Raw genomic sequence first — 12,324 nt, forward strand, 5'->3', positions numbered from 1 at the left:
CCTACACAGGGTCAGGATCATCAATATTACTGTCTTCCACCCCCACATCTTATCTCACGGGAAGGTCTTTGGGGCAATAACATGCATGGAGCTGTCATCTCCTAAGATAACAATGCCTTCTTCTGGAAAACCTCTTAAAGACCTGCTTGACGCTGTTTCACAGTTAACTTTTCCTTAAAAATAAATAGAAGGAGTACACTCTAAAATAATGATAAAAATATAATATAGTAAACACACAAACTAGTAGCATAGTCATTTGTTATTATGTTCAAGTATTACGCACTGTACATAATTGTATGGCCTAGACATTTGTACAACTGGCAGCACAGTAGGTTTGTTTCCACCGGCATCACCACAAACACATAAGGAATGTCTTGCACCATGATGTTATGGTGGCCTCAGTGTCATTAGGCAGCAGGAACTGTTCAGTTCCATTATTATCTAATGGGACCACCGTTACATATGTGGTCCATCATTGACAAAACGTCATTAGGCAGTGCATGACTGTCCATGCAAAAATTCATACTTCTTCCTTCAAGAGATAGAGTCTAATTGCCCTTCCGGGACTGGACTTAGTGATTTACTTCTACAGAATAGGATACAATGGATGACTTCAGAGACCAGATTATAAAAGGGTGTGTGGCTCCCATTTGGTGGCTTGCTCTCTCTTTTTTATCTCAGCTCACTGCAACCTCTGCCCCCCAGGATCAAGCAATTCTCTTGCCTCAGCCTCCAGAGTAGCTGGGATCACAGGCGCCCACCATCACATCATGCCTGGCTAATTTTTGTATTTTTCCCAGAGACAGGGTTTCGCTCTGTTGGCCAGGCTGGTCTCACACTCCTGACCTCAGGTGATCCATCCACCTCCGCCTCCCAAAGTGCTGGGATTACAGGTGTGAGCCACCGCACCCAGCCTTGGTGGCTTGCTCTCTTGAATCACTTACTCTGGGGGAAGCCAGCTGCTGTGTTATAAGCTTTCTATGGAGAGGCCCATGTGGCAGGGAGCTGAGTTGTCCTGAAAACAGCCGCACCAGTGAGGTGAGCTTGGAAGTGAATCGTCAGCCCCGTCAGATTCTGCACCTCCACTGCAGCCCCATGAGAGACTGAGCCAGAACCACCGACGTGAACCACTCCTTGACTTCTGATCTCAGAAACTCTGTAAACTGATAAGTGTTTGCTGACTGAAAGTGCTAGGTTTTGAGGTAGTTTGCTGCACAGCAATGGATAAGTGATACAGAGAGATACATTAATGTTCAGAGAAAAGAAGGGCAACTTTGAAGAGGAGAAAAGAGCTGGATGATTCTTGAGGCTTTGCTGAAGAGCTGGATGATTCTTGAGGCTTTGCTGACTCTTAACGTATTGCTCCTAGGCCCAGTCTGGAAAGAAAATAACACGATCTGGATTCCACATCTGGAAAAAGACTGAAGAAGTCCCCAAAGAGGTGAAAAAAGGAAGCTTTCTTTTTTCCCTTTTGTACTTATTATATATAAACTAAACTGGGTTAAAGGTCTTCCACATATGTAATGTAGAATGACAGGACAGGTATTAAAATATGAGCTAAAGAAATATCTACGTATAGTGGCCACACATAATTGGCTGTTGGAAAATTATGTTAAACAATCACAATACATGCTGCAAATCCATATTGATGGTCTGTTTTCTGGAAGATTTTGACTGGATGGGGGAGATCAGAGGTGGCTCTTGTCATCAAGGAGCATGCCATCTTCTTGGAGAGCAGAGAGGCACAAAGATTCAGCATCTATTCTGCAGGTAATTCTCCACCAGTTCTTATGTGTCAGGTCCTGAATTTGCTCCTGAAAAGATGACATGAAATCAGGTACAGTGTCTGCCCTCAGGATCTTTAAGTTCATACAGACACAGACAAGATAAGAAGATGCCATGATGCTATGTGTGATAAAGGATAAGACCTGGACGTTCATAGAAGCACCTCTGGGAAACATGTAGTGAAGATGACTAGTGATCTCCAAGTATTCTATGAGACCCACTAAGCTTCCACACCTCCTGGCTTTGAGGTTGGGGCCTTGGAGCTAGTTGGGGCTGTGGTCTAGAAGAAGAGTAGCATCATAGGTTCTAGCTGGTGCAGCTCCAGCGTGGCAGAGCTCCTCTCAACCTGTAGGTGACTGTGCGAGTGAAGTAGAGCCTCCCCATCCTCCCTGAAATTGACTTGTTGGACATAAGCGAGAGAAATGCTGTTTTGCTGGTAAAGCCACCAAGGCTCTGGGTTCTGATTTGTGTCTGCAGCTCAGAGTAGCCCATCTTGACTGAGACAAGGGACATGATCTAGCTATGGAGAGGAAGAAAGAGGCTTTGCAATGTAACGCCTGGCATACTATGGTAACTGTCTGGATTCAAGTATGTGTTGAGGGGACAGAGGTAGAGGGAAAAGTGATTCAAGTGTAAGGAACAAAATGCACAAACATCCAAAAGTGAAGACAGTACAATGTGTTCCAGGAAATGAAAACTGCCCAGCATGGCTAGAGGAGGGCTTATGAGTAGGGAGACAGCAATAAATGAGGCTGGTGCTGTACAGTTTGTAGTAAGAAGCTTGTTCTCCATCCTGAGGGCAGAGGTGTCTCTTGGGAGATTTTGAAAAGGGGACTAATGGAGTCTGATATATGCTTTTAGAGAACTAACAATACCAGACAAAGTTTGAGTTGTGAAATAAGAGATGTGAACACTAAGTAGTTTGAAGATGGGAAACATCACCAGGAGTTGTGGTCATCGCAGCAAAAACGACAGAAGAAGAAAGATATTGGAAACTGAACAACCAGTGGAAGAGCAAAAGGTGAGGAAAATGGTCAAAAAATGTGAAGGGGACATGTTACAGAGACCACTTTACCAGCTTTAAGCATTCCCATATGTGGGGGTGTTTAAAAGATGAGAAAGAGAATTTGAGTCCTTGAATGTCAGGACAGTCATTTATTATGGCTGTAGTAATACTGTGTAACCAACAACTCCCAAATCCCAGAGGTTTACAACAAGGAATTCATTTTTTTTTTCTCACTCATGAGTGTTTGGGTCAGTGCCAGCAGCTCTGCCTGAGACTGCGGCTTGAGCTCAGGGTCACTCGCAGGTCTTCATTCTGCTGCCAGGCTAATATAATAAGGACTGCCGGGGGCATGCTTTTCTTATGGTAGAGCACAGAAAGGAAATCCTTGCCAGCAGACCTCTGTTTGCATCGTGCCCACTCCTGTCCCCTTAGGCCCTAAAAGTCACACAGTGGACAAGTATATACTCTGCTGACGTGGAGAGGTACTGCAAAGGCTGGAATATATATTCCTATTATGGGAAGCGAAGAATTGGAAACAGCAAATTCAATCCATTGCAGCTAGTCAGAGAATTTTAAATTTATGGTACAAGCAATAAAAATCCATGACATTTTGAGCATCAGAATGGCAGGCATTGGAAATATTTTAGCAGAGCAAAGATAAGAAGTTGGAAGAGTTGGGAAGCAAGTGCAACACTTTAGATATATGGTAATAGCATAATGTAACAACAATGATCAAGGAGAACAAATTGCTGGGGAAATTGCCTGATGGGCAAATTAAGAGGTCTTCAATGACTGACTGGAAATGATAATAACAGGCAGAAGGATGCCAGGATAATTCTGGTGTCTCTGGTTTTGTGGAGCAGAAGCTCTAAGTGACATTGATCACTTAAAGGACAGGAGCTATTTGAAAGATGGGAAAAGAACAGAGTGTTGTGTGTAATATGGCGTCCTTCTGGTACATTTGATGGAAAGATGGGATAGCCAAGCAGAAATGCCTGGCAGAAGTTAGAAAGGTCTAATTAACATCTAGGAGAAAGGCCAGATTTGAGTGTACAGAATTAAGGGTCGTCCACAGGAAAGAGTAGGTCAGATTTCCAAGGAAGTGAGCCTCAAAAGAAAAGTCCTAATTTTACAGAAAAAGGAGTGAAAATGAACAAAGATGGTGAGATGAGAATAGTGATGCTACTACATTAAGGAAAAAAGTCTTTGTAGATAATAAAACATAGGAAACAAACTTCTCAATGTGATTATCTTAGATACGGCTTTGTCCACATTAAAATTGCTTCGAAATTTTAAAAACAAATTGCATTTCTGTTGCTTTGTGGAACTTAATCTATATAACGAGAACATGTAAAGATGTGAATTTACGGAAGTTAAAAAGCTGGAAGAGAAATGCAGCAGCTGGGATGTTAATGAAAGCATAATCTGTTATGTGTGGAAATAAGTAACATACATTTGCTGTGATGGGGCAACACTCAAACGAAACTTCAGTGCAGCACAGTGAAAAATCTGAGCAGGGAAACTTTTCCAGCCAAAAGGGAGAGACGTGATGAATTCTTTTAATTTTCTTTAAACTCAAATGTTTCCTTGCATATGCCAGTGTCACAAGAGGGAAACAAAACTGGCTGTGTACTGGCATTGTATGCTTTTTAAAAAAATTAAGTGAAGCCGTTTAATGTATTAATCATCAAATCATTTATTAATGACCATGTTATGTATGTCAGATCTAACATATATAATAGAATCTTTCTTTTTTTCTTTTTTTTTTTTTTTTCTGAGACAGAGTCTTGCTCTGTTACCCAGGCTGGAGTGCAGTGGCGCGATCTCGGCTCACTGCAACTTCTGCCTCCCAGGTTCAAGCAGTTCTCCTGCCTCAGCCTCCCGAGCAGCTGGGATTACAGGTGCGTGCCACCATGCCTGGCTTATTTTTGTATTTTTAGTAGAGACGGGGTTTCACCATGTTGGTCAGGCTGGTCTCGAACTTGTGGGTCTTGGACTCCTGACCTCGTGACCTGCCTGCCTCGGCCTCCCAAAGTGCTGGGATTACAGGCATGAGCCACCTTGCCTGGCCTGTAATAGAATCTTAATTGAAGCATGGAAACGTGCCAATGTGACAATCTTCATTCATTAGATGAGAAATGCATACTACAGTTGACAAAGGATTTTTGTACACATGATACTCTTTGACCCTCACACAAACGATAAAATAATTGAAGGGGTATGTTCTAACTCAATTGACAGCTAAGAAAACAAAGCATAGGCCGGGCGTGGTGGCTCACGCCTGTAATCCCAGCACTTTGGGAGGCCGAGGCGGGCGGATCACGAGGTCAGGAGATGGAGACCATCCTGGCTAACACGGTGAAACCCCGTCTCTACTAAAAATACACAAAAATTTACCAGGCATGGTGGCGGGCGCCTGTAGTCCCAGCTACTCAGGGGGCTGAGGCAGGAGAATGGCGTGAACCCGGGAGGCGGAGCTTGCAGTGAACCGAGATTGCGCCACTGCACTCCAACCTGGGCGACAGAGCGAGACGCCGTCTCAAAAAAAAAAAAAAAGAAAGAAAAGAAAAAAGAAAACAAAGCATAAAACAGATTAAATGTCTTGCCAAGAACATGCAGCTAGAAGGTCAAAGTGTCTTTTAAGTCTGTGTTTGTTTCCTTTCCACAATGTCAAGGTAATTATCTACATAAAAAGAATCCCTCCACCTGCGTCCATCCTTCTCCTGTCCGAGCTTGGAGCCCTCCATTGCCTATATAATGCCCACTAGTGTCTTTTATAAAACATACAGGAGTCTTTGTCACCAGGCCTTCATTTACCATTCTGATCTCAACCTCTAACACCACTTTCTCACCTCTCTCATCACACTGTATCCCTACCCTGTTTCAAGATTCCAGCTATACAAAATGCCTGCCATACTGATATTTGCAGTCCTGCTTTAGAAATATTCTAATAACCTATGTTTTTTTTTAAAAATCAATTTCGATTAAGGTTTTTATTGAGATAATTGTAGATTCACACAAGTTGTGGGAAATAATACAGAGATCATATCGCCCACTTTGCCCAGTTTCTTCCAATAGTAACATTTTGGGAAACTCTAGTATAACACGCCAACAGGGATATTAATATTGACTCAATCCACCAATCTTATTCAGATTTCCCAAGTTTTACTTATGCTCGTTGGTGTGTGTGTGTGTGTGTGTGTGTGTGTGTGTATTCAGTTACATACAATTTTACCATGTGTGCGGGTTTGTGTACCTACCACCACAGTAAAGACACTGAATAATTTCAACCCCACAAGGATTCCTGCGTTGCTGTTACAACTACACCTACCTCCTTCCCAACCCTTCATACCTACAACTGTTACCCTTGGCCCCCACTAATCTGCCCTCTATTTCTAAATTATGTTTATTTCAAAAATGTTGTATAAATGGAATAATGCAGTATATAACCTGTTTGGATTCACTTTTTTAATTCAGCCTAATTCCCTGGAAATTCATCCAGCTTGAGCATGTATCAATAGTTTGTTCCTTTTACTACTCAGTAATAGTTCATACTATGTAATACCATACTTTGTTTAACCATTCATCCATTGAAGAATATCTAGGTTTTTTCCAGTTTGGGGCAATTATAAATAGAGTTGCATGAATATTCAGGTACAGATTTTTGTGTAAACATAAGTTCGTTTCTCTGTGATAAATACCCAAGAGTGCATTTCCTGGGTTGTACAGTAATGACATGTTTAGTTTTGTAAGAACTGCCAAACTATTTTCCAGAATGGCTGTACAATTTTACATTCCCATCAGCAAAGTATGAGTGAGCCAGTTTCTCTGCATCCCCCTCAGCATTTGGTGTTGTCACTATTTTCTATGTTAACATTTTAATAGGTGTGTACTAGTATCACATATATATATGCACTATATATACACACTATATATACACTAAATATAGGGTATATATACACTAAAATATACTAAATATCATATATATGCATATATATTTAGTGTATATATAGTATATAAATATAGTGTTTTATACACTAAAATATATTAAATATATATGCACTATATATACACACACTGTATATACACTATATATAACATATACTATATATACACTAAAATATACTAAATTCACCATATATACTATGTAGTATATATACTATACCCACACTGTATATCTTCACATATGTATACATAAATGCAAATGTTTGTATGTTAATGCATACATGTATATATAGTATATACACACTATATATACATATATATGTACATATCACAATGATCCAACAGTCTACTGCTTACAGCAAGCTATTAATATCAACATTTTAACACTATTCACCATTTTACCAAAGGAAGTAGAGAAACCTCACTTTCATTAAGTTTTTTATCCTTCCCACTTTTAAATATCATTGTCTTGAGTATCAGATGATGTTACAATTTTTATTTCAATCACCAAAGGTGATTTATATCTCTGCTTAATGAGCTAAACAGTAGAGTGGAGGCTAGAATCAGTGAGGTTGAACACAGATCCATCCAATCTGAACAAAAAGAGCAAAGAGACTGAAAAAAAATCATGAACAGAGCCTTAGGGATCTGGGGGTCAGAAACAAAAGATCTGATATTTTATCACTGAAATCTCAGAAAGAGGGGAGAAAGACAGTGATGCTGAATGATTGTTCAAAGAAATAGTTGAAAAGAATGGTCTATTGTGAGTGTCCACATATATGGTCTTTCCATCATTCCCTTTTCCTTCCTGTTGCCCCCAAATTCTTCTTTTTTATTTTGTAATTTTAGTTTAAAGAACCTCCTTAATTATAACATTTCAGGGTAGAATTGTCAGTGACAAATTTTTATTCTTTCTATTTTCCTTTATCTGAGAATGTTTCCGTTTTCCTTTTATTCCTGAAGTATAGCTTCATTCGATATAGAATTCACAACTGACAATTCCTTTCTTTCAACACTTCAAAACATGTTCTGCCACTTCCTCTGGTATCCACAGTTTCGGACAAGAAATCTACAGTGAATATGTGTTTCCATGTAGGTTATGCATTCTATCTCTCCCTGGCTGCATTCAGTGTTTTTTCTTTGTATTTAGCTTTCAAACGTGTAATTAAGCTGTATTTTGGTGTGTGGATTTCTTTGGGTTTATCCTATTTGAGGTTTACTCAGTTTCTTAGATCTTTAGATTTATGTCTTTGCCATATTAGAAAAGTTTTCAACAACTATTCCTTTGAACAATCATTCAGCATCACTCTCTTTCTCCTCTGCTTCTGAGATTCCAATGATAAAATATTAGATCTTTTGTTTTTAATGTACAGATTCCTAAAGCTCTATTCATACTTTTTTTCAGTCTGTTTTCTCTTTTTGTTCAGATTGAGTGGATCTGTGCTCAACTTAACTGATTCTATCCTCCACTCTACTGCTTAGCCCATTCAGAAGGTTTCGATTTTTTTAATTGCAGTTTTCAGTTCTGTAATTTTTTAAATTATTTCCTATAACTTCTATTTTTTTCTGAGAATTTCCATTTTTAAATTTATTTCCAGATAGTTTGTAGTAGATTGTTGAAGTATTTTATGATTTCTGCTTTAGCATTCTTGTCAATAATTCCAATGTGTAACTCTTTGTTATTGGTGTCAGTTGTCTTTTCTCATTCAGTTTGCAATTTTATTGATTGTTGCTATGATAGATAATTTTCAATATATGTTAGACATTTTGACTTTCATGTTAAGAGACTGTGGCTTCTATATATTTTATTTTAGCACAGGGTCACTCAGTTCAGATTTTGCACACAGATCTTGGCCTAATTTTTGTGAGCTTTTTTTTCAATTGAAGTTTTTCTGATTGTTTGTTCGTTTGTTTGTTTGAGACAGAGCCTCACTCTGTCATCCAGGCTGGAGTGCAGTGGCACAGTCTTGGCTAACTGCAACCTCTGCCTCCTGGGTTCAAGCAATTCTCCTGCCTCAACCTCCCAAGTAGTTGAGACTACGGGAGTGTGCCACCAGCCCAGCTAATTTCTGTATTTTTAGTAGAGACAGGGTTTCACCATGTAGGCCAGGCTGGTCTCGAACTCCTGACCTCAAGTGATACACTGCCATGGCCTCCCAAAATGCTAGGATTATAGGCATGAGCCACCATGCCAGGCCAAAGCTTAATTTTTAGAGTTTCTGTAGTTTTATTTTGATCTGCTTGGTTTATGTGGTTGATGATGGGGCCCTTTCCAGCCCCCGATGGTGCTGCCCCAGTGGGGCAAAAAGGAGGTTCCCCAGGCTGGGCCACCAGGTGTTTCTCAATGAGAGATGGTATGAGGGGATCTCCTTTACCAGCGTCCTCCCTGACTACCAGTGACTGTGAGCAAAGGAGTAGAGTCTTGGACCTTGAGGACAAAAGAGGTTTCCTGGACTAGGCCACTTGCTGTAACTGGGTTCCTTTTTCTGGTTCTTTGTGCCAGCCTGGAGTTTTGGGGTCAGGAGAAAAGTCTTGGGCCTGCAGTTACAAAGACATTTTCTAGACAGGGCAGCTTGCTGTACCTGAGTCTCTCTTGCCAGCTCTGCCCACCTTTCCTCTGTATCTCTTGGTATAAAATGGGAGTCTTCAACCAGTGAGGAAGGAGAAGCAGCTTCTTGTCTTTGGCAGAGCTCTCAATCTATCTCACTTGCAGGTGGTATCAGGCTCACCTGATGGTGTCAGAGGGACTTTTGTCCAATCCACTGGGAAAAAGTGTTCCTGAGCTGTTTTCTGTTGCTAGATCAGGTATCAGGAAATGCCAGTTGTGATGGCTTTCTTCTGTTGGGTGAGGAGCTTCAAAACATTCTGCCACTACGTTGTTCCTCCAGACCTAGGGCTCTGCACCAGCTAACCTGCTTCTGACCATGTGTCAGAGCTCTCCTTTGGTTGTCTCTTGTACCATTTCCAGGGTTTGTAGTTGTGCTTAGCAGAGAGGAGCAGAGAGAATAGGTCTATAACATCTTACTTGGACCAAAACTCAATCTATGTTATTTTTACATACCAATGCCAGGAATTTTGTTACTGTAATAGCATTATTTCAGGTATGAGTCAGTAACTTTCTCTACCTTTCTTGATCCACTCTTCGGTTCCTGTCTCCTTCTTTTTCCCAGCCTCCTCATGCCCATCTTCAATGCCCTTCCACAAACTCACCCAGCCCCTTTATATCACTGAGCTCCTGAAACTCTCCTGATTTCTTCCATCTTCCCTTAATGTCCTATCTAATAATAATAGCAACAACACCAGTCAACATCATCATCACAATTTTCATCATCAAGACTGAAAATGAAGCTGGTGAGAGAAGCCTTGTAAAGCATGCAGCTATCTCCACCAAGGCTAAGGGAAGAGAAGAACTAAGGGCCAAGACCACCCCTAAGGTCAACCAGGAGACAGAAATCAAAATGGCTGAGGACTGAAGTTGAAAGATGCCACAAAGCAGTATGGCTAATATTTTATATGATAAGTATAGTGCTTATATAACATTAGTATTTTCATAAATTTACATTTTACCTGCATTTCAAAGTGCTTATAAATTTATATTTTGAAATATATTTAATATTTAGTTTCACTCATTTACTAAATTTGGGAATTCTGAACCATTTTAAATTAAATACTACTATTGGCACTAGTATTTTAGCATTACATGGAACAAGTAGTAAAACGCAGAAAATGACAACTTTCTGCAGAACTGGAATCACTAATCACACTATTGTTCAAACCTGTCAAAACCTGGACATTTTAATTTTCATTTATTTCTGATCTTTTAACAAAATACAGTCTTCTGCTGCACATTGAGAAAGACAAGAGCAGTCTTTGATCGTTTAGGTATAATAAAAACTTGGACAATACAGAAAACACCAGCTCACATCAAAGTTTGACATGCCCCTAGGCTACTGTTCAGTGTGGCAATCAGCAAGTCATCTTCGCACATTGTAAATATATTACTGTAGAATCCCACACATTCCAAAAATTCAAAGATACAAGTTAATGAAAACCCAGGGACTTTGAGGATATTAAGTGTACACAGATACTATAATTTCAGTGGGTAAATTTTATAAATACAGCCATCTAACTTTTTTCCATGAAATACTTATGAAATCCACTGTTCTATTTTTTCTGTTTGATAATAATTATTTGAGAAAGATGAAAGGTAAATGCTGAAAGAATGTTTTAGAGTTTCCATTTACCATACCTCATATGATGATGAATTAATAATAACAACAGAAAATATTTTATTTGTATATGCATGTGTGTTTATTCATTGCTTATTCCAGCGACACATGTATCCTACACAGAAGACAAATTGACAAAAGAGGAACAGTTGCTATTATCATACCTACCCCAAGTGGGTCACTCATCTATGTTCCTCTTCTATTTTCCAGAATTTCATATAGGGCTCATTTTGTTAGAAGAAGGCCACACTTCTAGTTTGCTAAAGCCTACATCTTTGTTCATAATCGTTTCTGATGCAGAAAAGAGGCTCCATTTTCTCTCCTTCCTGCAAACCTCACCTGGTAACTAGCCACAGAGAAGAGCTCTCTTTCCCAAATCCTGGAGAATTACTGTCATAAAATCAGATAATCTTCTGATGGGACTCAATCTTAACTTTCAAAACTTGCCCTTGGATGCTTGAGTTCATCCATTTATCTATTTCACTATTATTCGACAAGCATTTATTAAGCCTTACTCCATTGTCAGGCACTGTTCTAGACATGAGGATGTAACTGTTGAAGAGACACACACATTTCATACCTGCAAGGAGCTTATTGGCTCATCTTTTCTGAAGCTGAAATCTATCTACCACTTAGGGTTACACATAAAAAGCCCTCTCCCTCTTTCACATTACAGCCCTTAAATAGCTCAAGATGGTGCTACATCCCTTCCCTCTCTTCATCTGAATTTCTCCATCTCACTGAACCACTTCTGCTGCACCACTGCCTGGTTTTTGTTTTTGTTTTGTAGAGACAGGATTCTTGCTTTGTTGCCCAGGCTGCTCTCAAACTCCCTGCTTCAAGCAATCCTCCCTCTTAGGCCTCTCAAAGTGTTGGAATTACAGGCGTGAGCCCCTGCCCTCAGCCCCTGCATTGTATTTTTCATATTTACCTATGTGTCTATTTCCCCACTTAAGCTGTGAGCTTTTAAAAGCCAAGGTTCACATTTTCTTAATCTGTATTTTTATAGCACAGAGTTTCTCAACCCTGACATGGTTGACATTTGAGGCTGGATAATTCTTTATTATGGGAGGGCATCCTGTGCATCGTAGGATGTATAACAGTGTCCCTAGCCTCTATTCACTAGATGCCAATAACAATCCCCCCTCCCATTTGTGACAGCTGAAAATGTTTCCTGACTCTGCCAAATTTCCTTGGGGATAAAATCACCTCCCACTGCTCTGGCACTATATCCTGCAAAAAACTACACATTGGCATGCAATTCACATTTGAGTAATTTACCATTTGCAAAACTTTTTAAATACATTGTTTCACGGATGCCCATGATATTTCTTGAACTAGGATTCCATGCCCATTTTG

At 39.9% G+C, this 12,324-nt stretch overlaps 1 long non-coding RNA gene across 1 annotated transcript in view, besides 2 other annotated features; it reads right to left on the reverse strand.

The window, feature by feature from the left end:
- Nucleotides 1-241: 241 nt before the first annotated feature.
- LMCD1-AS1 (LMCD1 antisense RNA 1) overlaps nucleotides 242-12,324 on the reverse strand; it is a 280,512-nt gene continuing 268,429 nt past the window's right edge. Inside the window, exon 4 of the long non-coding RNA NR_033378.1 lies at nucleotides 242-1,814. This is a non-coding gene — a long non-coding RNA (LMCD1 antisense RNA 1). The remainder of the gene's footprint in view (nucleotides 1,815-12,324) is intronic.
- Nucleotides 8,327-8,828: an enhancer, noted in NCBI's record as "H3K27ac hESC enhancer chr3:8270919-8271420 (GRCh37/hg19 assembly coordinates)". NCBI's record gives its function as "activates a minimal SCP1, AML or CMV promoter by ChIP-STARR-seq in naive H9 embryonic stem cells {active_cell/tissue: H9 hESC(naive)}" and the evidence as "EXISTENCE:reporter gene assay evidence [ECO:0000049][PMID:30033119]".
- Nucleotides 8,829-9,328: an enhancer, noted in NCBI's record as "H3K27ac hESC enhancer chr3:8271421-8271920 (GRCh37/hg19 assembly coordinates)". NCBI's record gives its function as "activates a minimal SCP1, AML or CMV promoter by ChIP-STARR-seq in naive H9 embryonic stem cells {active_cell/tissue: H9 hESC(naive)}" and the evidence as "EXISTENCE:reporter gene assay evidence [ECO:0000049][PMID:30033119]".

The sequence above is a fragment of the Homo sapiens genome, chromosome 3 (assembly GCF_000001405.40).
Source record: "Homo sapiens chromosome 3, GRCh38.p14 Primary Assembly".
In the NCBI taxonomy this organism is placed as follows: Eukaryota; Metazoa; Chordata; class Mammalia; order Primates; family Hominidae; genus Homo; species Homo sapiens.